The sequence below is a fragment of the Homo sapiens genome, chromosome 7 (genome assembly GCF_000001405.40).
Source record: "Homo sapiens chromosome 7, GRCh38.p14 Primary Assembly".
Lineage (NCBI taxonomy): Eukaryota > Metazoa > Chordata > Mammalia > Primates > Hominidae > Homo > Homo sapiens.
The window spans coordinates 24696440-24722972 of record NC_000007.14 but is presented as its reverse complement, the minus strand read 5'-3'; the positions used below and the strand labels follow the sequence as shown (position 1 = coordinate 24722972).

General features: G+C 47.1%; 1 protein-coding gene across 5 annotated transcripts in view, besides 6 other annotated features; it reads left to right on the top strand.

Moving 5' to 3' along the window:
* Positions 1 to 24618, top strand: part of GSDME (gasdermin E) — a 97185-nt gene extending 72567 nt beyond the window's left edge. For all 5 annotated transcript variants that reach the window (XM_024446670.2, NM_001127454.2, NM_004403.3 and 2 more), the window contains 7 exons: positions 3755 to 3926; positions 5599 to 5719; positions 12585 to 12749; positions 14719 to 14846; positions 16597 to 16789; positions 20140 to 20213; positions 23714 to 24618. In XM_024446670.2, the coding sequence (XP_024302438.1) occupies positions 3755 to 3926; positions 5599 to 5719; positions 12585 to 12749; positions 14719 to 14846; positions 16597 to 16789; positions 20140 to 20213; positions 23714 to 23947 (1087 nt within the window). In that variant the 3' untranslated portion in view covers positions 23948 to 24618. The remainder of the gene's footprint in view (positions 1 to 3754; positions 3927 to 5598; positions 5720 to 12584; positions 12750 to 14718; positions 14847 to 16596; positions 16790 to 20139; positions 20214 to 23713) is intronic.
* Positions 2313 to 2412: an enhancer, noted in NCBI's record as "active region_25751". NCBI's record gives its function as "activates an Ori minimal core promoter by ATAC-STARR-seq in GM12878 lymphoblastoid cells {active_cell/tissue: GM12878}" and the evidence as "EXISTENCE:reporter gene assay evidence [ECO:0000049][PMID:35858748]".
* Positions 3910 to 4099: an enhancer, noted in NCBI's record as "active region_25750". NCBI's record gives its function as "activates an Ori minimal core promoter by ATAC-STARR-seq in GM12878 lymphoblastoid cells {active_cell/tissue: GM12878}" and the evidence as "EXISTENCE:reporter gene assay evidence [ECO:0000049][PMID:35858748]".
* Positions 4220 to 4419: an enhancer, noted in NCBI's record as "active region_25749". NCBI's record gives its function as "activates an Ori minimal core promoter by ATAC-STARR-seq in GM12878 lymphoblastoid cells {active_cell/tissue: GM12878}" and the evidence as "EXISTENCE:reporter gene assay evidence [ECO:0000049][PMID:35858748]".
* Positions 4706 to 5293: an enhancer, noted in NCBI's record as "H3K4me1 hESC enhancer chr7:24757299-24757886 (GRCh37/hg19 assembly coordinates)". NCBI's record gives its function as "activates a minimal SCP1, AML or CMV promoter by ChIP-STARR-seq in primed H9 embryonic stem cells {active_cell/tissue: H9 hESC(primed)}" and the evidence as "EXISTENCE:reporter gene assay evidence [ECO:0000049][PMID:30033119]".
* Positions 17885 to 18054: a silencer, noted in NCBI's record as "fragment chr7:24744538-24744707 (GRCh37/hg19 assembly coordinates)". NCBI's record gives its function as "represses an EF-1alpha promoter that drives an FKBP-Casp9 reporter gene in an ReSE screen in HepG2 liver carcinoma cells {active_cell/tissue: HepG2}" and the evidence as "EXISTENCE:reporter gene assay evidence [ECO:0000049][PMID:32094911]".
* Positions 20889 to 21183: a silencer, noted in NCBI's record as "tiled region #3197; HepG2 Repressive DNase matched - State 8:EnhW, and K562 Repressive non-DNase unmatched - State 23:Low". NCBI's record gives its function as "represses a minimal TATA promoter and a strong SV40 promoter by Sharpr-MPRA in HepG2 and K562 cells {active_cell/tissue: HepG2 | K562}" and the evidence as "EXISTENCE:reporter gene assay evidence [ECO:0000049][PMID:27701403]".

Here is a 26533-nt window from a genome sequence, read left to right as displayed (position 1 = left end):
CCCGAATCCTAGCCTTGGAGACAGTCTCCGTCCCTGGGCGAGCTTCTGTTCCTGCGCTGTGGTGGGTCCGCCCCACAGAGACCTTTTGAAGGCAGCGACTCAGCAAGCGTCTCAGGACTGCCCTGTCATCGGATACAGCAGGCAGTTGCCTGCCCACCTGCGTAGATGGCTGCCCCTCTCTTTTGGTGTTTGAGGTGGGGGTTCTGGAGGGAGGTGGGCATTTTAAGCAGTGGAGTCTTGAGTAGTCTAGGCTGAGCTTTTTCTTTTCAAACAATTTCACACTGGCTAGGAGCAGTGTCCAGTGTTCAGTGGATTCTGTTTAGGGCGGGTAGGAGGGCTGTGATTTCCAATCCAGCAGAGTCACATCAGACTCCTAAAGGCGGCAGTTGTGGGGTCGTCACCAGGCGGTGATGTGTCTGACGTGCGTCTAGCTGGGAGGAGCCCATGCCTTAGTTGTGAGGGCACAGACAGACGTTCAAGAATCTGCTAGAATTTTGAGCAATAGAAGGAAGAGACCATTGGAAAGGGAACAGTTGAATGTATGTTCTGACCGGTGGTTACAATGGCTTTTATCTTTAAAGTCTTTGCCTATGGGACCAAGACATGCAATCCCTTAGGAAGATCGCATCTGCTATGCACCATTTTTTGATCCAAGCTGCAGATCCTCCATTTCCCCCATCTTCCGTGTCTTCTGTCTTTCACACGTGGATGCACAAATACATATGTACACATTCATTCAACCAATAGAGGAAAAAACCTCACAAGTTTTATTTACTCATTTATTCCAAAAATATTTCCTGAGCTCTTCCTACGTACTAGGCATTGATCCTGGCCCTGAGATATGCAGTCAACAGGAGAGCACACTCACCACCTCTGTGGGGTTTATATTCTTGATGGAGGAGGCAGGCCATGAGCAGATAAATGAATGAGCTAGAAAAATATCCTGTGGAAATGTGCTCTCCAGAGAAGTGATCTTAGGGTGTGATAGCATGATGGGGGTGCAGGGAATGCTTCCCCGAGGAGGTGACCAATGAGTCAGTGAAATGTGGCCATCAGGGAATGTGTGCCAACGCCTCGGGGTAGGCACACACCTGGCATTTTTAAGGAGTAGTAAGAAGGCTGGAAGATAAAGTCAACAGGGGGCAGGGCAGATCACATGGGGCCTCAGCCTGGGAACGCACTGGACATGGGATATAGCCATTGAAGGCTTTTAAGAAGGGAGTGATGTGGAAACGTACCTCTGATTCAATTCAGTGCCCCATAATTCCCATGCAGGGCACACACTGTGGCTTTGTTTTGTGAGCCTCATAGAGGGACACGGGAAGGTGGGCGGAGCCAGCTAGTGTTTGTGTGGCATTTAACTCTGTGCTCGGCACACCCTAATGGCTCACTGCATGCATGTCATCTAAACCCTGACGGAACCCCATGAGGAGGGGGCCCTGTTACCAACAGTTCATGCACGAGAAAACCTAGGTGCAGAGGTGGCCCTTCACTCGAGCTTGCCCAGTGGGAGGGCAGAGCTGAGATCCGAACCCCAGCCCTGCAGGCTCCAGGGTCCCTGTTTCCTGTTCCTTCCTGGAAATGGAGTCTCTCGGCAGCTTTGTGGTTGTCATCAATGTATTTTTATCACGTGTGAGACATTTTTATAATTTGAATTTCCTTAACCAGTACTAAGATTGAACCCGTTTTTCCTATGTCTTATCTATTTGTTATTGTGGTAAAATAGATGAGACACAACATTTACTGTTGTAACCATTTTTAAGTGTAAAATTCAGTGGCATTAAATACATTCACCCTGTTGTGCCGTCATCTCTACTCTGCATTTCTAGAACTTCTTCGTCACCTCAACTAGGAACTCTGCAGCCATCAGGCAGCGAAGCCCTGCAGCCCCGGTAACCTCCAATCTGCTTTCTGTCATTATGAATTTGCCTGTTCCAGATATTTCATATGAGGAACCACACAATATTGCTCATTTGTCCCTGGAGTGTGTTACTTGGCATAATGTCTTCAAGGTTCACCCATGTTGCAGCAGATGTCAGAACTTCACTTCTTTTTTTTTTTTTTTGAGACGGAGTTTCGCTCTTGTTGCCCAGGCTGGAGTGCGGTGGCACAATCTCAGCTCACCGCAACCTCCGCCTCCCGGGTTCAAGCAATTCTCCTGCCTCAGCCTGCTGAGTAGCTGGGATTACAGGCATGTGCCTGGCTAATTTTGCATTTTCAGTAGAGACGGGGTTTCTCCATGTTGGTCAGGCTGGTCTCGAACTCCCGACCTCAGGTGATCCACCTGCCTCGGCCTCCCAAAGTGCTGGGATTACAGGCATAAGCCACTGTGCCCGGCCCAACTTCATTTCTTTTTATGGCTGTATGATATCTCATTATATGACTATAACACATTTTGTTTCTCCATTCATCTGTTGATGGACACGTGAGTTGTTTCTATTCTGGGCAGGTGATTACATTGAGATGGGACTTTCCTAGCTACTCACTCCAGTTCCAGGGCTACTTTCTGAAGCCCAGAGAACCTGAGTCTGTCTAGGATGGGTGACCCAGCATGTGTGTGGTCAGGGATGGGTGCTGAGCTTTTCAAGGTAACTAACCTCTTAAAAAAAGACCAGCATGGATACCATAATTTTTCTTGTGCTGTCACCAACTCTAGTTTGGTTCTTTTCCTGTCCATTTCATAGAATCATAGTATTGAATGAGATCTCCAGAGAAGTTATTTCATCATTTGCTTCTAAGCATGAAATCATCTCCTGTAAATAAAAATTTAGTCTGTTCTTGAAAGTTTGCAGAATTTCAAGTGGCTGGGTGGGAGCCCCAAATCTCTGCTGAGTGACTCTGGATAGGCCATGCATAACCAGCCTCAGTTTCCCCATGTGTAAAAAGACATCAAACCCCTTCTAAGAGATGAAACATCTTTCCTAGACAGGTTAAGAAGTTTCCTCTTAGTTCAAATCTAATTTCCTTCTTGCTACTCATACTTTAGGCCTATTCCTTTCTCAATGAGAAGCAATTGGTCACCATTCCTCCCATCATAATCCTGTATTCCCTGGGCCATGGCTGTGACGTCTGACATCCTTCAGCTCTGATTAAATAAAAAAGTGGAGTTTCCAGGGTCTAAGGTACATGGATTGCAGTTTCCTTCCTGGTTAGTTTTCTTTTCTTTTCCTTTTTTTTTTTGAGATGGAGTCTTGCTCTGTTGCCCTGGCTGGAGCGCAATGGCATGATCTCAGCTCATTGCAAATTCCGCCTCCCAGGTTCAAGCGATTCTCGTGCCTCAGCCTCCTTAGTAGCTAGGATTACAGGTGTGTGCCACCACGCCTGGCTAATTTTTGTATTTTTGGTGGAGACAGGGTTTCACCATGTTGGCCAGGCTGGTCTCGAACTCTTGACCTCAAGTGATCTGCCTGCCTCAGCCTCCCAAAGTGCTGGGATTACAGGTGTGAGCCACCACGCCTGGCCCTGGTTGATTTTCTTTTCTTCTCCTTGACAACCGGCGCTGCTGTTTGACTGAAAGCCCCCTTCCCTCTGGCATCTAGCCTGGCCCCCAGAGGCCCGGCAGCTCTGAGGTGGCCTCAAGAGAGTTTGGTTTATGTCTTTCCAGGTGACCTGCCACCCCTTTCATCATGAGGAAATCAACAAAGCCTGGCTGTCACCTGCTCACTCCTCAGCTGCCTGCTGTGCAAGAGGAAATTCACACTACACCAATGTCCCCTGAGGCACTAAGCCACTCACATCCGTTTTTCTTTTTCAGAACAATAAATCTGAGAAACCCTGTGCTCCAGCAGGTGCTGGAAGGAAGGAATGAGGTCCTGTGCGTTTTGACACAGAAGATCACGACGATGCAGAAGTGTGTGATCTCTGAGCACATGCAGGTCGAGGAGAAGTGTGGTGGCATCGTGGGCATCCAGACCAAGACGGTGCAGGTGCGTGCAGTCGGGCTGCCCTGCGTTCATGGCTGAGCAGTCCTGGAGACCTTGGTTGGGGGCCTCTTTGGGTGGTGTCTTCATTAGTCAGGACTCTTTCCGTAGCAAGTTAACAGAAACCCAACTCACGTTGTCTTAAATGAGCAAGAGTGTATTGGCTCATGTAGCTGAAACACTTGGGGAAACTGGCTCCAGTCACTGCTGGATCCAGGCCTTGAGGATATATAGGGAGCTGCTTTCCCTGGGTTGATGCCCTCTCAGATGGGCTCTCCCTATGGTGCTGGCAGCTCCAGGCTTGCTCCTGATTTGCTGCAACTCCAGGGGTGAGGGGGGCCTAGGACTGGGTCTCACCAGACCGTCCCGGGATATGTTCATTCCTGAAGCAGGGCAGGGTTGCAGGCACTCGAATGGGCCAGGTGGGCTGGCGTCAGGTGCTCTTCCTGTGGGCGGCAGATGTTTCCCCAAGAAAAATGAACACACAGGCACTGATCAGGCCAAATGCAAAAGAATCCCTAGAGCCTCTCAGAGCTGGGGCTCTCACAGTGATTACTTGGAATTAGCTGCTGCAAATCCTTTGTGGGTTGAGTTAGGGCAGGTAAGATCTAGCTATCTCTACATAGATTCTTCTAGATTAAGTTATTGACAGTCTTACCAAGCTGATCTGTGAGCCAGTACTAAACTTCAATGGACTAGGTGGCCATCAGCCCCAAACTCTTTCTCCTCCAGCTTGCCATGGTGGCTGATATTTTCTTAGAGATTTACTTCTTGGGATGACTTTTGGCTTTTTCTAGAGGAACTCAGAAAGTTGTATTTGGAAGGAGCTGGAGGTAGAGGTCTGGGGCCAGCACTCTTACTGGGTTGGGGCTGGGTAGCAGCGAGGGAGGCGCCGATGGGAGATGGCTCAGGCCGGCCCTGCTGGTGCTCCTGCCACAGTCACTTCCTGCCAAAGTGTTGAAGCCTTTCAGAGTCAGGAGGCCAGCTGCCATTTCTCAACCCAAAGCAACACACTCTGACCAGGATCAAGTTGCTAAGAAAAGTTCTCTGATTGCCAGTGTTTGGCCAACAAATAGATTCTCATCTTCCTCTCACCAGGACATCGTGGGAAGGGGTCCTGTTTGTGAGAGTGTTTAAAGGCAGGAGCTTGGTGCCTGACTTCTTGGCATTTCCTGCCTCTCCTCCCTCCGGCCTCTTCCCACTTCCCTCTCTGTTCCTGGTTTTATCAGCACTGTGCACCATCTACAGGGGTCTGGAGTGATATGCACGGGGTAGGGGGCCCTCTCAGCTAGGTTCTCCCAGTCCAACTTGGCTACTGTTTAAGGTTTTCATTAGGATTTCAGTTGTTTCCATAACCTGTGATGGAGGGAATTGGGAGGTGATCTTACGTATCGTATGATCTTTGCACAGCACTGTAGACCTAACTTCACTGTATCCCACGCTCTATAATCTCGCTTTGATGCCACCAGGTTGGCCGTTTACTTGGGAATTTGTGTACTGATGCCAACAAGGATTGAATCCCCCCATCCCCCATGCTGGCTGGCTCCTCTGTTCCACTCGGTTCTGTGGACATTGCTCAGCATCTCTTATGTATAAGGCACGAGGCTGGCTGCAGTGGGGAACAGAGCAGCTTGGAGAGCCCGAGTGCACAGGTGGGAGTGTGCGCTTTTGCCCACAGGTGTCAGCGACGGAGGATGGGAATGTCACCAAGGACTCCAACGTGGTGCTGGAGATCCCAGCTGCCACCACCATTGCCTACGGTGTCATTGAGTTATACGTGAAACTGGACGGCCAGTTCGGTGAGTGCCACCTCCTATGGGTGCTGAGGGATCCCCAGCAGAGGATCCCTCAGCAGAGGGACTTGACTGCTTTCCAGAGGACTCGACTGCTTTGGAGACTGTGGGAAGAGAGGGAAAGAGGTCTGAAGAGCGTAGATTGTCCCAAGACATGGTCCCTGGACACATGGGCTGCACTGGGGGAGGGGTGTGGTGAGGGATGCCTGGAGCAATGCCACCCTCTCCTCCAACATTGGTGTGGGGCAAAGTTCCACCAGCACAGTAGAGGGCTGGGCTGTGTCCTCTGGGCATCAACCTGGGCTCTGCATCAGACACACTGGGCATCAACCCCGGTGCCATGATGTCCTATGAGGTCTCAGGCAAGTTGCTGAATCTTGCTGAGTCTTGGCTTCCCTGTCTCTGGAAGGTGAAGGGCATTTCTTCACAGGGCTGTGTGAAGATTTAATGAGATGAGGCCTATGAAGCGCCTGGCACAGTGGTCATTTATTAATTCCTCCACCTTTGCTATTAATAGCATTATCATCATTATTGTTACCCCACCTCCTCTCCACAAGTATGAAGCCAGACATGCTGAACTTGACTTTCCTCTGCTGATCACGAGTGTGTTCAAAGCGCAGAGACCCAGCTGTTGTCACGGAAGAAAATCCAAGCTTTGGTTCAGCGTGTCTGCTCACTTTAGGTGTTCACAGCCCCTTCCCTCCTCATGTTCCCAATGAGAAGAGGTTGTGTTCACTCATGAAAGCTGTGTGACCGCTCCTTAGGGACATGAGTGGGTAAATGTAACATAATAAATTGTGAAGTTTTTTAGGTGTGACAATGGTATTATAGTTATATTTATAAAAATGAGTCATCCTATCTTTGAGAGATGTACACTGAAACATTCACGGATGAAATGGTAATATGTCTGTGGTTTGATTCAAAAATAATATGAGTGGAGCATAAAGGGTGTGAGCATGGGCAGCTGCCGAGGGAAGGAGGCTTGGCTGAGAGGGGACAGTGGCTGAAGCTGGCTGATGGGCACACGCTGGTTCACGCTCCTCCTCTCTATTCCTGTGCAGTTTGACATTTTCTGTAACAGCAGTTTTTAAAAGGGCCGTGATAGACCACGCACATGCCTGCTGCTGCCTCCTGCTTCTCCCCCATTTGTGGAAGGCGGGTGGGGGGCAGTCTCCCGTGAGACAGCTCCTGCCCTCGCTAAGCCCACATGAGTCACTACGCCATTCAGCAGCCACTAGAGGGACTCAAACAGAATGCTCAGTGTCCTCGTGTGCTGCTGTCCACAAGCTGAAGGGTGTTGAGGATCCCTAGGAGAAACAGGCGAGGCACAGAAGGAGTGCACAGAGTCTCCCTCTCTCATTCTGCAAATGAAGAAGCCTGCATTTTAGGGCGGTGAAATGATTTATCTGAGGTGACAGAAAGAGAAAGTGTCAGTTTGAAGCAGTTGGTCAAAGAGGTCTGTCAGGGACCAAGAAATGCTGAGAATACCAGGTGTTGTGGCTTCCTTGAGGCCCGTAGTTCCAAATTTGTGTCCTCTGGGGCGTTTTCGTTATTATTGTCATCTTTCTCTTTGAAAAGACTTGTCTTCCAAAAAAAGTGCATCATGAAGAGGATCAAATTGTTCTTCTAGTCTCTGTTATCTGTATGTGGTAAGTAGGGTCACCATCTGCACTTTTGGGTTTCTAGCCCCCCTATGTCTGCCTTGGTGGTCCTGTCCAGTCTTACTGATGGCCAGTGGTGAATGTGTCACTCCCCCGCAGCTTACTGAGGTATGATTGACACACAGAAACTGTATGTTCAAGATGTACAAGTGATGATTCAATAGACATAGACATTGTGACGGGATAACTACTGAGTCAAGCTAATGAACACATCCATCACCCAGCATGGTTACCCTCTGCATGTGTGTGGTGAGGACACTTACTGTCCACCCTCTCAGCAAGTCTCAAGTAAACACTGCAGTACTATTAGCTATAATCACCATGCTAGATCCCCAGAACTTACCAGCTTACAACTGGAGGTTTGCATGCTTTGACAACATCTCCCCATTTCTCCCAGCACCTGGCAACCACCAGTCTACCCCCTGCTTCTGTGAGTTCAGCTTTTTTCAGTTCCATGTATAAGGAAGACCATGTGATATGCATCTTTTTGTGCCTGGGTCATTTCATTTAGCATCCTGTCCTCTGGGTTCATCGAGGTTGGCACAAATGGGAGACTTTCCTTCTTCTTCATGGCCAAAAAGTATTCCATTGTGTAAATACATCAATTTTCTTTATCTATTTGTCCATCAACAGACAGTTACATTATTTCCGTATCTTGGCTGTAGTGAAGGATGCGTCACTTCTGTAACGCTTTCTGAAATCTTGGCATGCACCTGAGGATGCCCAGGAGTGCTCTGCGGACCCTTCGGTGGCGGGGACCCAGGCCTGGGCTGCCACTCTAGGTGGTGGTCCCCATGCGAGCTTCCTCCTGTTTGTCCCAGGAGGTGACCAGACCCTGCCCTGACGCAGCTCTGTGGAGGTAGCCTCTCTTTCTCAGATGGGGTTTGAAAGACACACAGCCTTGTTCTGGCAGGGCTCTCCTGTTTGCATTTCAATTTCAAGGCTTTTATCTTTTCCAGCTTCCACTGTCTTTGAAAATAAACTCCTCTTTGTGCTGCTGAGAAGAGGTACCCTGGGGATATCTCGGCCTTCCCTTGGCTCGTTCTGGATCCTGGCCTAGGAGGCAGCTCCGTGGCTCCTTCCTATGGTGGCTTGGTGGTCAGGTCATCGTTCTGGGTGATTCACTGCCTGATTTTAAACCAGTTCTGCTATTTCTTTTCTTTTTTTTGCCCATCCGTTTTCTGTTGCTCTTGCTACAGAATGTTCTGGTATAGCTTCATAGACATAAACCTGCAGTGGTTGGAAGGGCCCTTGAGAAGACATGCCTGCTCTCTCTCCCTACCTTCCTGGTGGGATTGCATTTGACAGAGATCCTGGTCGTCCTTTGAAACCTCGAAGGGAGGCAGACTCCATCTGTATCCCGGCCAGGTGCTTCAGCCATGCCAGCTGCAATGAGACCCTTTCCTTCACCCACAGCTCCCCTCTCAGGAGACACTTATGCCCAATCAGAAACACCCTTTCATTCTCTTGACCTTCTGCCTTGCACTTTTATACATCTTGGCATTTGCTAGCGTCCTTCAGCACCAACTTCCAGTTGGATGCCTTGTGGGCGTGAACCTGTTTCCCACGCTGCACCTGAATCTGTGCACGTCTCCCCACTGGCCCTAACACCATCTCCCTGCTTCCCCACCTCGCTTTCCTTAAAGACAGGGCCTTGCTCTGTGACCTAGGCTGGAGTGCAGTGGCGGGATCATAGCTCACTGCAACCTTGAACTCTGGGCTCAAGCAGTCCTCCCACCTTGGCCTCCCAAGCAGCTGGGACTACAGGGGCTCTGCCACAGACTCGTAACTGGCTACTCTGATTCTTTCCTGTCTGTTCCATCCTAGCAGTGTAGCTAATGGGATTGTTTTAAAATTGACCACTTCACTCACCTGCTCAGACACCCTTCTGTGGCTCTTTGTCCCAAGAATGCAGTCTGCACCATGTCACGCCTTATGGGCCAGCCCAGCATGGGTCTCGTGCCTTCCCTCTGGTCACAGTGCCACTTGCCCCGTGATCTCACTGAGGTCTGGGGCATGGCACACCCTCTCCCACCCCCAGGCCTGCTGCGCCTCTCTCTGGGCGTGCTCTCTGCCTCTTTTGCTCCTGCCCAACCATCAGATGGCTTTTCTGGTTCTCCTTCCCTGTGACGGGGTTCAGGACATGCAGTCCTAAGATATTTTAAAGTGAAGGAATTTGAAAAGATGACAGAAGCAGGAAGGTCACTGTGACCTTCCCCTCACCCTTCTCCCTGTAGCAGGTCATAAAACCTCTGAAGGATTTTCCAACCTTCCCCTGATGCAGGTTACAGACCCTCAGGGGAGAGGCGCCGTCCCTCTGCCTGGAGGAAAGGAGCAGCCGTGTCTCCCGACACAGGACACAGAGAGGTGAAGAGACAGGCCTTGCTGAGTTCCTGGATGAATGGCCTTTCCATCATATGCTCTGCCCTGCCACATTTCTCCACCACTGTCCCTCAAACCTAGCAAAAAAGTACTCAAATTTAACTATTTTTTCACATGTTCATTTTCTTATGAAGGCTTCCATGTCATGTAAAACTGCTATTCGGTAAAGTTGCGTGCTTTTCCCTTTTTTTTTTTTTTGAGACTGAGTTTCACTCTTGTTGCCCAGGCTGGAGTACAATGGTGCGATCTTGGCTCACCACAACCTCCGCCTCCCAGGTTCAAACGATTCTCCTGCCTCAGCCTCCTGAGTAACTGGGATTACAGGTGTGCACCACTATGCCCGGCTAATTTTGTATTTTTAGTAAAGACGAGGTTTCTCCATGTTGGTCAGGCTGGTCTCAAACTCCTGACCTCAGGTGATCCGCCCGCCTCGACCTCCCAAAGTGTTAGGATTATAGGTGTGAGCCACCGTGCCTGGCCTCTCTTGTTAATCTGTCTGTTGTGATAGGGGCCTCAGCCATGAACCTAGGATGAGCAGAAGGAAAGATGTTTTTCCTCCCCTCCACCCGCTGGTCACTCTGGCCTCAGCCCTGTTCAACCGCTGTCCCCACTCTTACCACACTCATCGTCAAGGCCTGGTTGTAGTCCTTTGTATCTGTGGCTGTGAGCACGGGGCCTGGTATAGGGAATTTTAAAGATTTACATTGTTGCATATTTGCTGGCTGGCTGGCTGGGGATGGATGGATGAAAAGAATGAAGGAATTAATTGGTGGCGCCCTCAGGGAGCTATGCATGGGTGAAGGTGAGAGTGTGGTGTGTGGTTGGTGCTGTGGATTCTTAAAATGCCAGTTGGTTCCACATTATTTTGGGGACCTGGCAGGGCTTCTGGCAGAATTTGAGGCTGTGTGAATGGTCAAGGCTCCTGTCCTCAGGGAACAAAGTTATGACCTAGGTGCTGGTTCACACTCCTGCACCCCTGTGGCTAAGCGCAAAGTGTGGAGGAGTAGGGTCAGCCTGAATGCTGGTGTGGGCCAGGTGGGTAAAGCCCAGGGATCGTTTCCTTTGTCTTTAGACAGCCATTCTTCTTTTTCTTTTCCATTCTATCTTTATGAGCATCATTAATGCCCACAAGCAAATGAAAATATTTGCTAATACTCATGCCTTCTACATTTCAGCAAATACGGGGCCCTGCCACATTTTTATTCCATAGCCTTTGCTTACGTACACAAGTTAGTAAATAGAATCATAAAGAGAATGCTAATTCTTGAGCTCATTTACTGTTTCTGCTTAGCAAGGACGTAATAACTTACATTTTTATCTACACCTTAGATACCTTAGCTGGGTTCTCAAATATGGAAGTGTTTGAGAAAACATTTCTTTGCCTTTTTTTTTTTTTTTTTTGGAGACAAGGTCTTGCTCTATTGCCCAGGCTGGAGTGCAGTGGTGCGATCTTGGCTCACTGCAACCTCCGCCTCCAGGGCTTAAGGGATCCTCCTACCTTAGCCTCCAGAGCAGCTGGGATTACAGGCATGTGTGACCATGCCCAGCTCATTTTAAATTTTTTTGTAGAGACGGGGTCTCACTATGTTGCTACTCTCAAACTCCTGGGCTCAAGCAATCTGCCTGCCTCAGCCTCCCGAAGTGTTGGCATTACAGGTGTGAGCCACCATGCCCGGCCCTTTTTATTATTTAAAAAACTTTTTATCGCCTGGAGCAGTGGCTCACACCTGTAATCCCAGCACTTTGGGAGGCTGAGGTAGGTGGATCAACTTGAGGTCAGCCTGGCCAACATGGTGAAACCCCATCTTTACTAAAAATACAAAAATTAGCCAGGTGTGGTGGCAGGTGCCTGTAATCCCAGCTACTCGGGAGGGTGAGACAGGAGAATCGCTTCCAGCAAACGGAGGTTGTAGTGAGCTGAGATTACACCACTGCACTCCAGCCTGGACAACAGAGTGACTCTGTCTCAAAAAGAACAAAAACAAAACAACCAAAAACAAACCTTTTTATTATGGACATTTCCCACATGTTAAAAAGTAGAGATAATAATGTAGTGAGCTCCCATGTGCCCACCATCCAGCTTCAGTGACTAGGGCAATTCATGTTTTAGCCATAACTTCACCATCTCCTTCCTCTCCTGCTGGATTATTTTGAAGCAAATCCTAGGCATTATATTGTTTCATCTGTAAATATTTTAGTACCTTGAAATGATAAGGCTTTTGAAAAAAGACTAGCTTTGCCTTTGTAGAAACAGATTCAGAGAGAATGTATTCTTTTGTGTTTGCCATTTTTCACTCAACATGTTTGTGAAATTCATTCATATAACTGCAGACATCAGTATTTTATTTTTTATTGCTGTATATTATTCTATATATTATAGAAACATTGATTTCTTAAAAATATAATCACATAACTACTTGGCCACCTAAATATACTGGCAATACTTTTAAAATATTATCAGTGTTCAGATTTTCCTAGTTGTTTTGTGCATGTCAGGTTTCATTTGTCTGTTTAGAATCAGTTTGTTCAAATCAGGATAAAATAATATTTCCAATGTTTTAAAGATTGTGTCCAGCCTGTTCAGAGAATATATATTAGGGAGCTTTATGTAAGAACAGCCATTTCCTTATTTGTTGGAAGTGGCTGGGCTTTTGGTCAAGCAACATAATGTGTGTAGGGATCGAATTTTATGGGGAAGATGGATGGGTCTTCTGCTCCACTGAGTTACGTCTAAGATGTGCCATCAAGGCTGGGCTGACCCTGTCCAGACTTGTTGGCACACCTTAGACTCAACTTTACCTAACTTGTCCTTTTCTCCTGCACTACAGAGTTCTGCCTTCTCCGAGGGAAGCAAGGTGGCTTCGAGAACAAGAAGAGAATTGACTCTGTCTACCTGGACCCCCTGGTCTTTCGAGAGTTTGCATTCATAGACATGCCAGATGCTGCGCATGGGATATCTTCCCAGGATGGACCATTAAGTGTTTTAAAGCAAGGTATTGCCAGCAGGGCAGGAGTAGTGGGCAGTTGAGGGCCAACTGAGCCCTGTATCCCAAGAGGTGGTGTGGCCTTCAGCATCAGTGACCCCTCAGTGACTCACAGAAAACATATGAGAAGAGAGGTGATGCCGCCGAGGCCCAGTCCACTCGGCAGGACTCACCTCGGTTGGATCTTAGGGAGCCCCAGGTTGTGGGTGCTGTATTTTAGGAAGGGTGGGGAGAATGACGCTCCATGGGGTAGGGGTCGGAGACTGAAGAGTGAGGCAGTCAGGGGCTTGGCATTTTTCTTTCATTGTAAGCACAGAAGCCCTGTTGACTACTAAGAATGGCTCATCAGCCGCGAGGATGGAGAACCCGTTCTGCATCTGTTTTGTTATATTCTGGGCTTCATTGTCAAGACAAGCAATGCTTTGTCAGCCTTGCAAAATGCTCTCTTGGAGGCTCTTTATCCACATGGCATGGACTGCATGGTGCCAAAGAGGAAGAGGGGCCATGCCCAGGATGTGCCTGCAGCAATTCCTTTTGCTCCTCACAGCGTATTGTGCTTTAGAAAGCTGGTTTCTTTTGTCGGGGATGTGGGGGCGCAGCATATAGGAGGAGATGGGCAAGGAAAAGGAGAAACAAATAGGTGAGAGCTTAGCACAAAGAGCTAGGAACCGCTCCGTGTGCGCGCTGGCTTGGAGGGTAAGCACAGAAGCCCTGGTGACTACATCTGTGGAGCTTCGATGAGTCCCAAACCAGGATGCTTTTGTAGCAAAAATGTCCGTATTTGAAGAAATGACAACAAAGGCCCAATTTTAATATAAGGCTTTCCTATCTTGGCTTCCTTGAGATGGATAAGTGGGTGCAATTTTCAGCTGCCACTTGAAGGATTTTGTCATTGTGGGTTAGAACCACAGCAAAATGGCCCTGCAGCCACTGGGTAGCAGAAGGCAGTCCCGTGCTGCAGCTTCCTTCTGTCCTGCCCACAGGCCCACCCTTCGAGTTGGCCATTCTGGTCAGCAGGGGTGCAGTGGGAGCTGGGTGTGCGACTGGACCGACCAGGACAGCTTCTCTCTTCAGGCTGGGACTGGTAAAGACAGTTGTGTGTATAGCAGAGTTTTGAAATATGTTGGTTACTGATGTTCTGTGTTCCTCTGCGTGGGGCTTTATACAACTGCTAGTTGGAATCGTCCATCCTCATGGGTGGTACATTGATGTATTAGTGTGCATCCCTGCATACGAAACCTTTATCAAATCTTTAAAAATAAAATCTCCACTAGACTTAATTTACAAGAAGCTTCTGAGTATCTTAAAAACAAACAAACAAACAAAAAAACCAAAAAACAAAGAAAGGAAAAGAGATTCTAAGGGGAGAGGCCCCTAAGCATCCTGCAGAGGCAATAGCTTCGGGGACTCAGTGCTCAGCTTGAGGACTCATGAAGAAGCAAAGGATAGAGAAAGAATAGCTGTGCTTGCCATGAAAATAGGGTGCCAGCCCCTTTAAAAATGGGCATTAAATATTAAAGGATAGAAAATCTGCAATGTACTACAAGAAAGGACGTGAAAAATAATGTATTTTGGAATTTGTATGGCTCTAAAGCATTGTAAAAGCACTGACTTGTTTAGTAATTCAGCTTTGATAATTTACTTCTAGAGAAGTCATGCTAAAGAAGAATTTAAATAACTTTTCCAGAAAATAATTGATTAGACTTAATGTTTAGTGAGTCATCAGAGAAGAGTGAAGCTTGAAATACAAAACTTGGCTTCCCTCTTTCTCTCTCTCTCCTCCCTCCCTTTGGTTATTGAAAAATATGCAGGGTGGCTTGTAACTTGATGTTTATTTCTGAGTTCCATGACTGACTATGCAGCTGGGAATATCCATGAAAGAACTGATGACGATTAGGTATAAAAAGCAGGAGTTGCTGTCCGACGTCGTGAGATGTGCATCGCAGTCATGAGACTTGGGTGTGCTTTGTTTTCACAGCGACCCTGCTCCTGGAGAGGAATTTCCATCCATTTGCGGAGCTGCCTGAGCCACAACAGACAGCTTTGAGTGACATCTTCCAGGCGGTCCTATTTGATGATGAACTACTCATGGTCCTGGAACCAGTGGTGAGCCCTGAGACATCTCAAGGCAGTGTTTTCACTGGGGTTTTCTGGAACAGGGGAGGAGGCAGGATGGAATTGTGTTAAAGGTTCCCCCGCCTCCTTTTCTCCCTACAGCTGTCTCTTTTCTGACTCTTGGGTCCTGCGTTTTCTAAGTGCAGACAGGTAGCTGGCATCGGGTGGAGGGAGGTGTTAATTTCCTAGGGCTGCCTCAACAAACCTGAGGGCTTAAAAAACCAGGAATTTATTCTCTCATAGTTTTGGAGCCCAAAAGTCCAAAGTCTAGGTGTCTGCAGGGCCACACTTCCCCCAGAGGATCTAGGAGAGAATTCTGCTGCCTTGTCTCCTTCCAGCTGCGGATGGCTCCTAGTGTTCCTGGCTCATGGCAGCAGCACTCCAGCCTCTGCTCTGTCTCCATGTGGGCTTCCCCTCTGTGTGTGTGTGTGTGTCTTCTCCTTTACTGTCTGTTATAAAGACACCATCATTGGATTTAGGGCCCACCCCAATCTAGGATGATCTCATTTTGATTTCCTTACTTTAATTACATCTGCAAAGACTAAGGTCACGTTCTTAGGTTCCAGGTAACATATGTTGGTGGGCCACTACTCAGACTACTGCAAGGGGGTCGTGTGGTGGAATCTATAAAGTCAGCCTGTTCCATTTAGAACAGAGAAATAAATAGGCTTTTGCACTGTTGTGTTTTGCAGCAGAAGGATATCCTGGGGAGGTCAAGTTCCTTAACTCTTAGTTGTACAAATGGTGAGAGCCACACAAGCTGCCAACCCTCCAGCCACCCAGATTCTGTGTCCTCCCTTTCTTAAGGCTGAGGCTTTATAAACCTGATTTTGACTACAGTTTTGTTTTTTGTTCTTTTGTTTTTCTATTATATTATGCAGGGAGTTTGAATAACTGATTTAGTGCTTTATGGTTTCCAGGGAAGTGTTCATATTATTTTTCTCTCTTGAAATTAGATTGTGCCGAAAGAGCCTGGGTATCAGTGATGGAACCTGTTATTGAAACAGTCCCACAGCCCAGGACATTTGCATTCTAGAGGGTGGGGAGCTCAGCTCCAGGGAGAACAGTGTTTTAAAAAGCCCATTGACTTCTACTTCCGAAAATAACTTCTTCCAAGAGGAAAATGTCAGGCCAGCACCCTGTGGAGAGAGCCTCAGCTGCCCTGTCAAATGCTGGAGAAGCAAGCTGCCCGGCTGGTGGCGAGGGTGGGGTCAAGCTTTCAGATGATCGGATCTGGACACCAAGGCTGTGGGTGGTGCAGAATTGGCGGGGTGGTCCGAACTGGCTCTCCAGCAGGGTCGCCTCACTCCACAGCAGGCTCTGTGGGGACAGATGCAGCTGCCCAGTGCCCGGTGGGAATGTGGCCGGGGGCTGGAGCGCCTAGCTTAACGCATGAGAACCAAGACAAGACGATGCTTGAACATCGCCCTCCCCAGTTCTGTGTGTAACCACTTGTTTCTGGTCCCTGGCACTACCCAACAGACCCTGCCCTGGAAGGTTCTATGCCACAGTTCCAGCAAGTACGCCCCCAACCCTCGTGGGCCAGGTTCAGCTTACTGTCCCGTCAGTGAAATGTAGCCACCAAGGATTAGCAATTTCAGAACGTAGAGAAGAGCTGCGGGTCGTACTTTCCTCGGGGGAGTGGGAAGGGCTGGGGCTTGTGTGTACTGTGAGCGGAGGCCCCAGCTGTGGCGCTTGGTCTCCAGCTGTGTCATGACCCTTCTTCTTCCCTGCCCTACAGTGCGATGACCTGGTCAGCGGCCTCTCGCCCACAGTGGCGGTGCTGGGGGAGCTGAAGCCCCGGCAGCAGCAGGACCTTGTGGCCTTCCTGCAGCTGGTGGGGTGCAGCTTACAGGGTGGGTGTCCGGGCCCCGAGGATGCAGGCAGCAAGCAGCTGTTTATGACAGCCTACTTCTTGGTCAGTGCCCTCGCAGGTAAGGAGAAAAGAAAATGAAAGAAATGGCTGCTGCTGCTTTAAAATGCTTTGCCTACTATCTATGCTTCTGGGGACACAGAGGTGGTAACTGTGGAAGATATGGTACATACAGGTCCTTCCCTTCTGGTACAGGGAGGGTAAGAGGTGGGAGGCTGATGGGAAACCCCCCTTCGGTCTCGAGTCTGTGCCTTTCCATCCAGCACAAGCCTCCCTACTCTCCCGGAGGGCCCTTCTCCCTCCTCCCCCAGGGAAGGCCACAGTGGGTGCCCCTTTGCCTACAAAAGCAAGCATCTCCCTGACAGGCTGTGGTTCACTCCGGAGTCCCAGCAGAGCTGAGTGGCAGCAACTTTCATTTGCCAACTGCTCTCCTCCAGCATTTCAGTCCTTCTGATCTTTGCAAACTTGTTATTCCCCACCCTGCGTGCTCCTGTCTGGGGCAAGGGGGCTGTGGAGAGCATTCAACCATCCAATGTACTAGGCTGGGAGGCAGAGCTGTGGCTGGGCCCAGATGCACAGCTTCTGCACTGGTCCTGAAATGGCCTCCCAGGGGAGCAGCCATCCAGTTACTGTGGAACAATCTCTGCCACCTCTGTACCCCTCCCATCCGGAACTCGCCATGCCACAGTGCCTGTCACGAGGAAGCTGGGCTTCCTATTCCCTCTCAGAAAAGCCAGTTGTGGCAAACCAGTCCCCACAGCTTCCCTTCATGGTGACACTAGTCAGGACACATAGTTTCTGATACATTCAGGGTTCCTCCCTAGCACCACACAGAAACAGACCCAGTAATCTTCAGTTTTTAAAGAATTAATCTGAGAGAATGCCTGTCCCAACTCTATGTGCTGATAAATATATGCTCTGTCTTGTTCCAACTCATGGATAAATATAGTTTTGACTGGTAAACTGAAACAGGACATAAGACAGAGCCCTGCGGAACTCCACTAGAGACTTTCTCCCAATGTTAACATCCGGGTATTAGAGTCTTTCAGAACAGGCATTCTGTCAGGAGCTAATACACAGGCCAGAGTTCTCCGACTTGTGAGAGGTCTTTTCTTCATATACCCCATTACTTATTGCAGCATTTCTATCAATAGCCTGGATCAGTGATGCCAAGTAGGTAACACAGGGCCAGCATCATGAAAGCACCACAGTCCCCTTCTACTTGAGCCTAGACACAGCATCAAATTCTCTGCAACTGGCTGGGTGTGGTGGCCCCCATCTGTAATCCTAGCGTTTTGGGAGGGTAAGGTGGAAGGATCACTTGAGCCCAGGAGTTCAAGACCAGCCTAGGGAACATGGCAAGACCTCATCTGTACAAAAAATAAATTAGCCAGGCATGGTGGTGTGTACCTCTGTAGTCCCAGCTACTTGAGGGGCTGTGGAGGATTGCTTGAGCCCAGGAATTCAAGGATGCAGTGAACTATGGACGCCATTGCAGTCCAGCTTGGAAAAAAAAAAAAATCTCTGCAAGCTTGCACGCAGGCAGCAGGCCACGCAGTTGACACATAATGTGAGACTGACTTGCTGTTTCTGAATTGGAAACTCAGAGGTAGTGAAATCTTTAGGTGCAGCTGGCAATGTCTAAATTTTTCAACCAATCCTGCCCTTTATTTTTCTGAACTGTGATCTCATTTATATGTCAGTCCCAGTGGAGGCCAGGCTGGCATACAGCCCTTCCATTTGTGCTCTTGCTAATCCTCCGCCCTTCTGAGTTCATTTTTTTTCCTCTTAATATAATCTTCTCTCCTTAAAAACTGAGGAAAGTGCTGGAATAGAAAATGGGGTCTTCGTAGGTCCTCACACCAGTTTCTGGCTAATAGCTGTTTTCAGCACTTCAGTCCCACATGTGACCTGTCTCCTGGGAAGCTTCCTCCACTATTTTGTAACCTTAAGCAACTCCAAAGGTCTCAACTCCTTGGACTCTATTTGTAAAATAGAATTGGTACATGGAAGAGCAATCAAAATAATTTCAGTTCAAGAAACATTTAACAAGCTTATACTATGTTTTAGGCAGTGCTAGGTAAATATCAAGTCTTGGCCCTCCAGGAAATCAGAGTCAAGTAGTAAAATTAGTGGGTAAGCTCGGTAATGCAGATGCTGTTCTTTCATTTCTGTGCCCCTAGCACCTAGTGTACCACACTCAAGATAGCAGCTAAATGGGTAATATGGGACTCAGGTATTTCCAAGAATAAGAGATGAGGATGATGGTTACCTGGGTCCCAGGAGCCACCCTGGAAAGTGAAGGCAGGGCAGTAATGGCAGATGAGATGGCTGGGGACAGAGGCTCAGCTGGATACGCTAGGCCACATAGGCTTTCCGTCTTCACCTTCCTGCTTTGGGGTAAGAGACTACTTGAGAAACTGTGGATCTTCTCTTCAGACAAATGCATACACATTTGAATACCACATTAGGTTCTCTGAAAGAAGCATCCCCCTGGCTGCTGCCCCACCCCCTTAATAGCCTACACTCTCTCTTGAGAACGAGCCATGTACTCTCTGGGTCACACCTCAACAACACACTGTCTTTACAAATAAGGCTGCTAACACATGGCAGGAACAACTGAGTTCCTAACCAGTCCCTCGGCTACCTGATTCAGCACGTGACTCATTCTTTTTTGCCTTTTCAGCTCAAAGCTTGTACCCCCAAGGGACTATGGTCCTTTTAAGAACTGTATCTGTGTTTTCCCTGGGAGGTGTTTAATATCCACTTTGAATAACACTGATCTGGCATTCCCTTCCCTGGGGCTTGGCAAGGGCCCTTCTGGTGCAGCCCCTAGCCTGGCACAGCTCTGCTCCAACTTTCTGCTGTTGCTGCTCCTGGCCTCAGGCCACGCTGCACTGATAAAGCTACACTGCATTTTCCTCCCCAAAATGATTGGTGATGGGGTAGAGCCCTTTATAGTTTACACAGTATTCTGACATATGCAAAAACAAAACAACTATGGTAAATGAGGAAACTGAGGCTGAGAGAGGTGTACCTGAGGCTGCAGCCTGAATGTGTGGAGGGTCTCAAACATCACTCTTCTGTCACCAGATGGCAGGGTCTGCTTTTCCATGCTGTTTCCTTTCCTTCCCCCAGAGTCTGGGCAGTTCTTTCCATTTGGTAAATTGAATGTCAAGGAGTATCCTCTGTGGAATGCAGAGCTGGCAGCTGGGTTCCTACATCTGTTTTCTACAAGGTCTTTGCTGCCCATTTAGCACCATTCATTCACTAACTCAGCAACTGCTGAGTACCTCCCCTGCCTGGCTGGCGGGAAAGTACTAAAATATAAGTTAGGTGCCATCCAGGGGCTGGCTCTGTTCCCATGGACTTGTTTTTTTGGACTGTGACTGTGATTTTTCTCTCCTGCAGAAATGCCAGATAGCGCAGCAGCTCTGCTGGGCACTTGCTGCAAACTCCAGATCATTCCCACACTGTGCCACTTGGTAAGCAACCTCCCAGGTGGGACCTTAGAATGGATAGGAATGGGGAAATGATGAGGGGGTAGACATCCAGCAGCCGGTAAAACACCTCTAGGACTTACCACAACAGCTCTTCAAGACACATTAAGTAAGTATTGTTATTAACCCCACTTTTATACACATCCCACCCCATGGGAAGACTGAGACCCAGAGGAAAATGATTTGTCCAAATAACTTGTTAGCAGGTCCAGGACTTCATCCTTGTCTTTCGACTCCAACTCTTATACTTTTCCCATTGTTTGGAGAGAATTTTGGCCAAGGTTTGGTGTTACATTACAATAAAGGGGCCTGACACCATATTATTTGCAATGGCAGTTTTGTGCTAAGACTGGTTTGATTGAGCTCTGCAGCAGATTTGCCAGGGAGGTATCCAGGACTGATCTGTCCCAGGGAGACATAGCTTCTTTCATCCACTTTCAGGAATATCGTTAGCTTGGTGCCCCCTCTGGAAATGTCATTCTAAGAGCATGAGTTAGGTAATGATGAGCTTAGCCCTAGAGAGTCAAGATTAAGCTTTTCCTTTTTAAATTATAGATTGAGCCATTAGTAGAAAGAACCACCAACAGGTTGCCCTGAAGCCACCCTGATGGGGCAGCTAGTCTTGTGTAGCTTTTGCAGATGTTGCTCAGCCTGGGGCAGAGGAGCTGAGCACACACGGTCTGATTATTTTAAGGCCTAATTACTAAAGTCCAAGGCCAACCTGCTATGTTGGCCCAAAGGATCATCTCTCAGAGCTCTGCTGTCAGATCTGGGAAGCAGGTATTGGGGCAGACTGCCTAGACAGGACCCTGACATTTGGTATACATCTACTCTGGGAACACCGAGTAATGTGGTTGGTGCCTTTGTGCATAGCAAAGACATTAGAAGACTATGCAGCATGGCATCATTCCAAGGAGCAGATCAGGTATCACAACTGAAAGATTCCACAGGCCCAGAGGAACATGCATGCTTGTCCACTGACTGCAAAAATGGAACTACTTGAAAATGTGCCAGCATGTGTGTCCTGGGCCAGCTGAGGGTAAAGGCTGGTGGCACAGTCTGGTTATGGAAACAATACGTGCCATTATTCTAATTGTATGCAATGATGAGCAAAACAACAGCTCTGCTTTCAGATCTCAGCTCCTCTTGCAGCAACTGAGTGCTCAGCATTTACTAAGTTAGTCCTTCCCAAGTATTTACAGATTCATCAACTGCAACTGAAGCAAATAAAAAGAAAATCCTGCCAAGCCCATGTTATCTAACTGTTATCTAACCCCTTCTGTGACAAACTCACACTTAGCTGTCCTCCTCCCTGCAGATCAGCTCTAGGACATTTGTATTACCCCCAAGTTCTGCTCTGTTGGTGTTCTAAGAGCAGCAGCCAGAACACATTCGGAGTTCAGAATGGAAGGTATTCTGCTTCTGCACATTCTGCCTTTTGGCACTGCTCAACATAGTCAAAGACCTCCTTTTTCTGTAAAGACCTTCCTGGGTATCTTCACATACCTCCCCTCAGATTTGCAATAGCTCTATTTAAGACATCGAGGTGTCTGCCTCCTGAAGGAATTTGAGCGTCATGTTTCTTTAAGGGATTTACTTAAAACGGCACAAAATCCATCTGCAGCCCTGTCTTTTCTTGTCTAGTAGCCAGGGTAACTTTGAGAGGCTTTCTGAAGGGCTTTTGGGAGTACAGTGCCAGATACACTAACACATTTCCAAGAACTGGTGAAAGGGTGAGTTAGAATCAGTAGAGAATGTTAACTTCACTCCACCACCCTCTGGGTCACCGTTTCCCCCTTATACCTAGAAATGCCTGTGGGCAAAGGGGGTGGTGGATATTTAGAAAAGAAAGCCGAATGCTGCACAGCTCTCATCCACCAGGTGGTAAGGACAGGGAGCCTGCCATGCTGTTGACAGTCTCCAGCCTGCGCCAGTGGGGCTCCTCCTTAATTCACTGGGGTGTGATGCTGTGCTTAAAGAGCAGGTCTAATCTACTCTCTAAAGCACAATCAATAGTTTGCAGTCTGAGCCTAATGGTAACGTTAAGCCTGTGGTTACATTGTGTGAGTTGTATTTGGCGAATCTACAAGGTTCGTGAGGCTGATTTTGATAATAAACCCACAAGTACTTTTACATTCCAGTGAGTGCTACCCTTCAGTCTACCTGGACAAGCTGCATGACTTTCAAGATAGTCACCACTGCTCAGGAAATTTCTGGAATTTTTTCTTTTGGATTCCCTTCAGATTTCTTAAAATTCAGGCAAACTTTCTAGGCTTATTTCATTTTTAATTTAATTTAAAATTTTACTACTTACATTATTAATCAGATCTTGAATGCCTGTTTCAAAATGAAATCTACTGGTAAATTTGTAATTGCTTAAGATTTGTAAAATATTACGGGTACAGATCAAGACCCTAAAAGCAAATCAAATATTTCAAGTATGTGTTGAGCAGTGGAATTAGAGCAGCATCCAAAGTGACCTCGGTGAAGAACACATTGAGTGTCTGTGTTGTAGGCACGGCAGACAAGGTCCCTGCTCTCACGAGCAGCTTAGGGTTAAATAAGGGAAGGTGACTAAACACTATCAAGCAGATTACTTCAGATATAGTAAGTTTATGGATACAACATAATGGAGTAACATAAGGCTGAGTTCTGGGGCTGGGGGTAGCTAGATGGAAAGGGATTGGGAAAGGCCCTCAATGTGGCATTTCAGCTGACAACTGAGTGATGAGAAGGGGAGATCAACAGGGAAATTTGGAAGAAGGAATAACAAGGGAAAAGGTTCTTGAGGCAGGAAGGATAATTAAACTAAACTATGGTACCTACCTTTGAGGAGTTCATGCAAAGATATAAGAAAGTTCTAATATCTTCAGTAAAACAAAAACTAAGCATACTGCATATATGACCAAAGTACATTCTAACCTTTCTAATGTACTGGAGTTAATGGGACTAGTAGAAAGAGTTTGGAGAGTAGGGATTCAGACAGAGGACACTAGACAAATTGGATAGAATCAGGCCTGAGGTCCTGGCCTGGATCAAATATATCATGTTACACCTCAAGGGTTTTCCTGCTCTATTTGGGGAAATTTAAAAAACGACATAGTTGGCCAGGCGTGGTGGCTCATGTCTGTAATCACAGCACTTTGGGAGGCCGAGGTGGGCAGATCACCTGAGGTCAGGAATTTGAGACCAGCCTGGCCAACACGGTGAAACCCCATCTCTACTAAAAATACAAAAATTAGCTGGGCATGGTGGCGCACACCTGTACCAGCTACTCGGGAGGCTGAGGCAAAAGAATCGCTTGAACCTGGGAGCTGGAGGTTGCAGTGAGCCGAGATCACGCCACTGCACTCCAGCCTGGACGACAGAGCAAGACTCCATCTCAAAAAGTTTTTTCCCCCAGAATTACCTACAAGTGCATTACTATCCAATGTGGATTTTTTAGGACATTTTAAAAGTGAATTTGTTTAAATGTGTCATTTCAGCTTCGTGCTCTGTCTGATGATGGAGTATCTGATCTTGAAGACCCAACCTTGACTCCCCTGAAAGATACAGAAAGGTTTGGGATTGTGCAGCGCTTGTTTGCCTCAGCTGACATTAGTCTGGAGAGACTGAAGTCATCTGTGAAAGCTGTCATTCTGAAGGACTCTAAAGTCTTCCCACTGCTTCTTTGTATAACCCTGAATGGACTCTGTGCTTTAGGCAGAGAACATTCATGATGTCATATGTGAACTAGAAGTACGTGTTACTGGCCAAGGCTATTTTTCAGAACTGTTAAAGGTCATATGCACGTTAAAAGTTGACCAATGAAATGAATTTACAGAACAGTTTAAGAAGTGGTGACATTTTGCATGATGAATGACCTGACTTTTAGCCACCAGGTACTCTTTAAACAGTTTTCCTTATCAGAGGCCCTCCTGTGCTGGTGACCCAGCATCTGAGTTAGGTTCCAGCATGTAAAGAGCTGGGAGGGCGGAGAATTCTTAGCATACATTCAGACGTTTTTTCTGCACAATAATAAGTCCATCTGTCACTTGCATTCCACTTTTTGTTACATAGAAAGAGTCTGACCCTTTAATCCAAAAGGTCTTTTTACATTGTGAATGCTGTGGGAAGGCAATTTCTCTGCACACAAGAGGCTACGTTTTGGAAGTGATGTATGTTATTTGATGACTGAAAATGAACTGTAAATGCTCCTAGAGTATATTCCTCTGCTGAACAAAATTAAACTTCAAAAAAATCTAACAGTAACACACCCCTGCTTGGGACCCTAGCTATATGCATTTTATGTGACCTTGCCATGCTTCAGTGAACATACTAATTCTATGTCTAGCACATGTTGATTTCCTATGTATTCTGGGTATTCTATTAAAGGAAACTTTGAACTATGTCTATTTTGCTTTTTATTCTGTTTTGATGTCCTTCTATAAATAGCTTGGACTGGCTCCCTGTGTCCCTGATTCCATAGACAGGATCTGAGCCACTGGGGATGAGGGGTAGCAGTTGTTGGAAACATATCATACAGCACCTATTCTTTTTTCCCTGCAACATCATCCACTTATTCCCTTTCTTCCCTTCAGATTTTAATGAAGGTTAACAAGGAAGAATAAAGCAAATAACCCTTTCATCACTACTAAAAATGAGACTCTTTATGGAAATGCTTATATGTTGGGGGAGAGGCTATAAAATGGCACATGGTGGCAGCAGCTATACAGAAATAAGCCTTACATACAAACTGGAAAGGAATATGCAAAAGTGAAAGCAGTTGTGCTAAAATGGTGGCACTATACCTGCCTTTTGTCTGGTTTTCTGAAATAAGTAAAAAGAACAAACTGCAAACAGAAGGTATAATATGAATCTACTTGTGTAAAAAGATAGATAGATGTATACATGTTATCAATATTAATGGAAAATTTCATTTAAAGAGTTCACACGAAATCTAATGGTGGCTCCTTTGGGGAGAAAGAAACTTAGAGGTTGAGACAAGAGGCAGAGGAAGATTTTTTAGCTTTCTATTCCTGCTAGAATTCTGTATGTCTTATCCTCCAAATTAAAAAACAGACAAAATGAAAGACTTCAGATTGAAAGAAGCCATCCCAGCAAGCGCCGAAAGTCTGGGTTACATCAAACAGTCAGGAATCTAGCTGTTTCACAATTGTTCTAAGACCAGCCAGTTGACATGCTGGATTGTGTTTTAAGAACTAGCTATTAAAAAGGAGGTAGCTTTATGCTACTACAGTTGTTCCCAGCCTGAGGTTACTGCCAGGCATCTTAGCAGACACCTGTAGAGATGCGGGTGCAGCAAGGCTAGGTGTGCTTGCAGTGAGGTGGAATTGGGCCTCCAAAGGTTTGAAAAAGATTTAATGAGGAAGTTGGAGATATCATCTTTGGAGGTTTCTAACTAGATAGTATCTCCAACTTTCTCATTAAATCTTTTTTAAAAAGTGCCTCTATTGACATCAAGAACCATACTTGTTTTTCATAATTAGATTTGCAAACAAGTCTATTAGCTCAGGTCATCTGGAAAACAGTAAATAAAAGGAATACTTCCTAGAATAGCACAAGACAGCCCCCTTAATTCTGATATTTCCATTCATAAGAGGACCACTTCTCTTTCATAAATGGATGAAAGGAGTACCACTGACATAGCTAGTGTTGTTGGTCCATTAATGACTCCTCACAGATGTCCAAGACCTAGTCCCTGGAACCTGTATGTTATTTTACATGACAGAAAGGGACTTGGCAAATGCTTTTAAAGTTATGGACCTGACATGGACACATTATCCTGGATTATGTCGGTGGGCCCTTAAAGGAAAGAAGGCAGAAGAGGCAGTGAAGGAGACTTGGCTCAAGAAAACGTAGGAAAGGTGAGGCCAGTAGAAAGAATCTATGTGCTGGCCGGGCGCGGTGGCCTGTAATCACGCCTGTAATCCCAGCACTCTGGGAGGCTAAGGTGGGCGGACCACGAGGTCAAGAGATTGAGACCATCCTGGCCAACACAGTGAAACACCGTCTCTACTAAAAATACAAAAAAAAAAAAAAAAAAAAAAATTAGCTGGGTGTCGTGGCGCATGCCTGTAATCCCAGCTACTCAGGAGGCTAAGGTAGGAGAATCACTTGAACCGGGGAGGCAGAGGTTGCAGTGAGCCGAGATCGCGCCATTGCCCTCCAGCCTGGGCAACAAGAGCAAAACTCCGTCTCGAAAAAAAAAGAAAAAAAGAAAGAATCTACGTGCTGCTGCTGGCTCTGAAGATGGAAGGGACTAGAGCAAGAGGAGAGAGCAGTCCCTCTGACAGCCAGCAAGG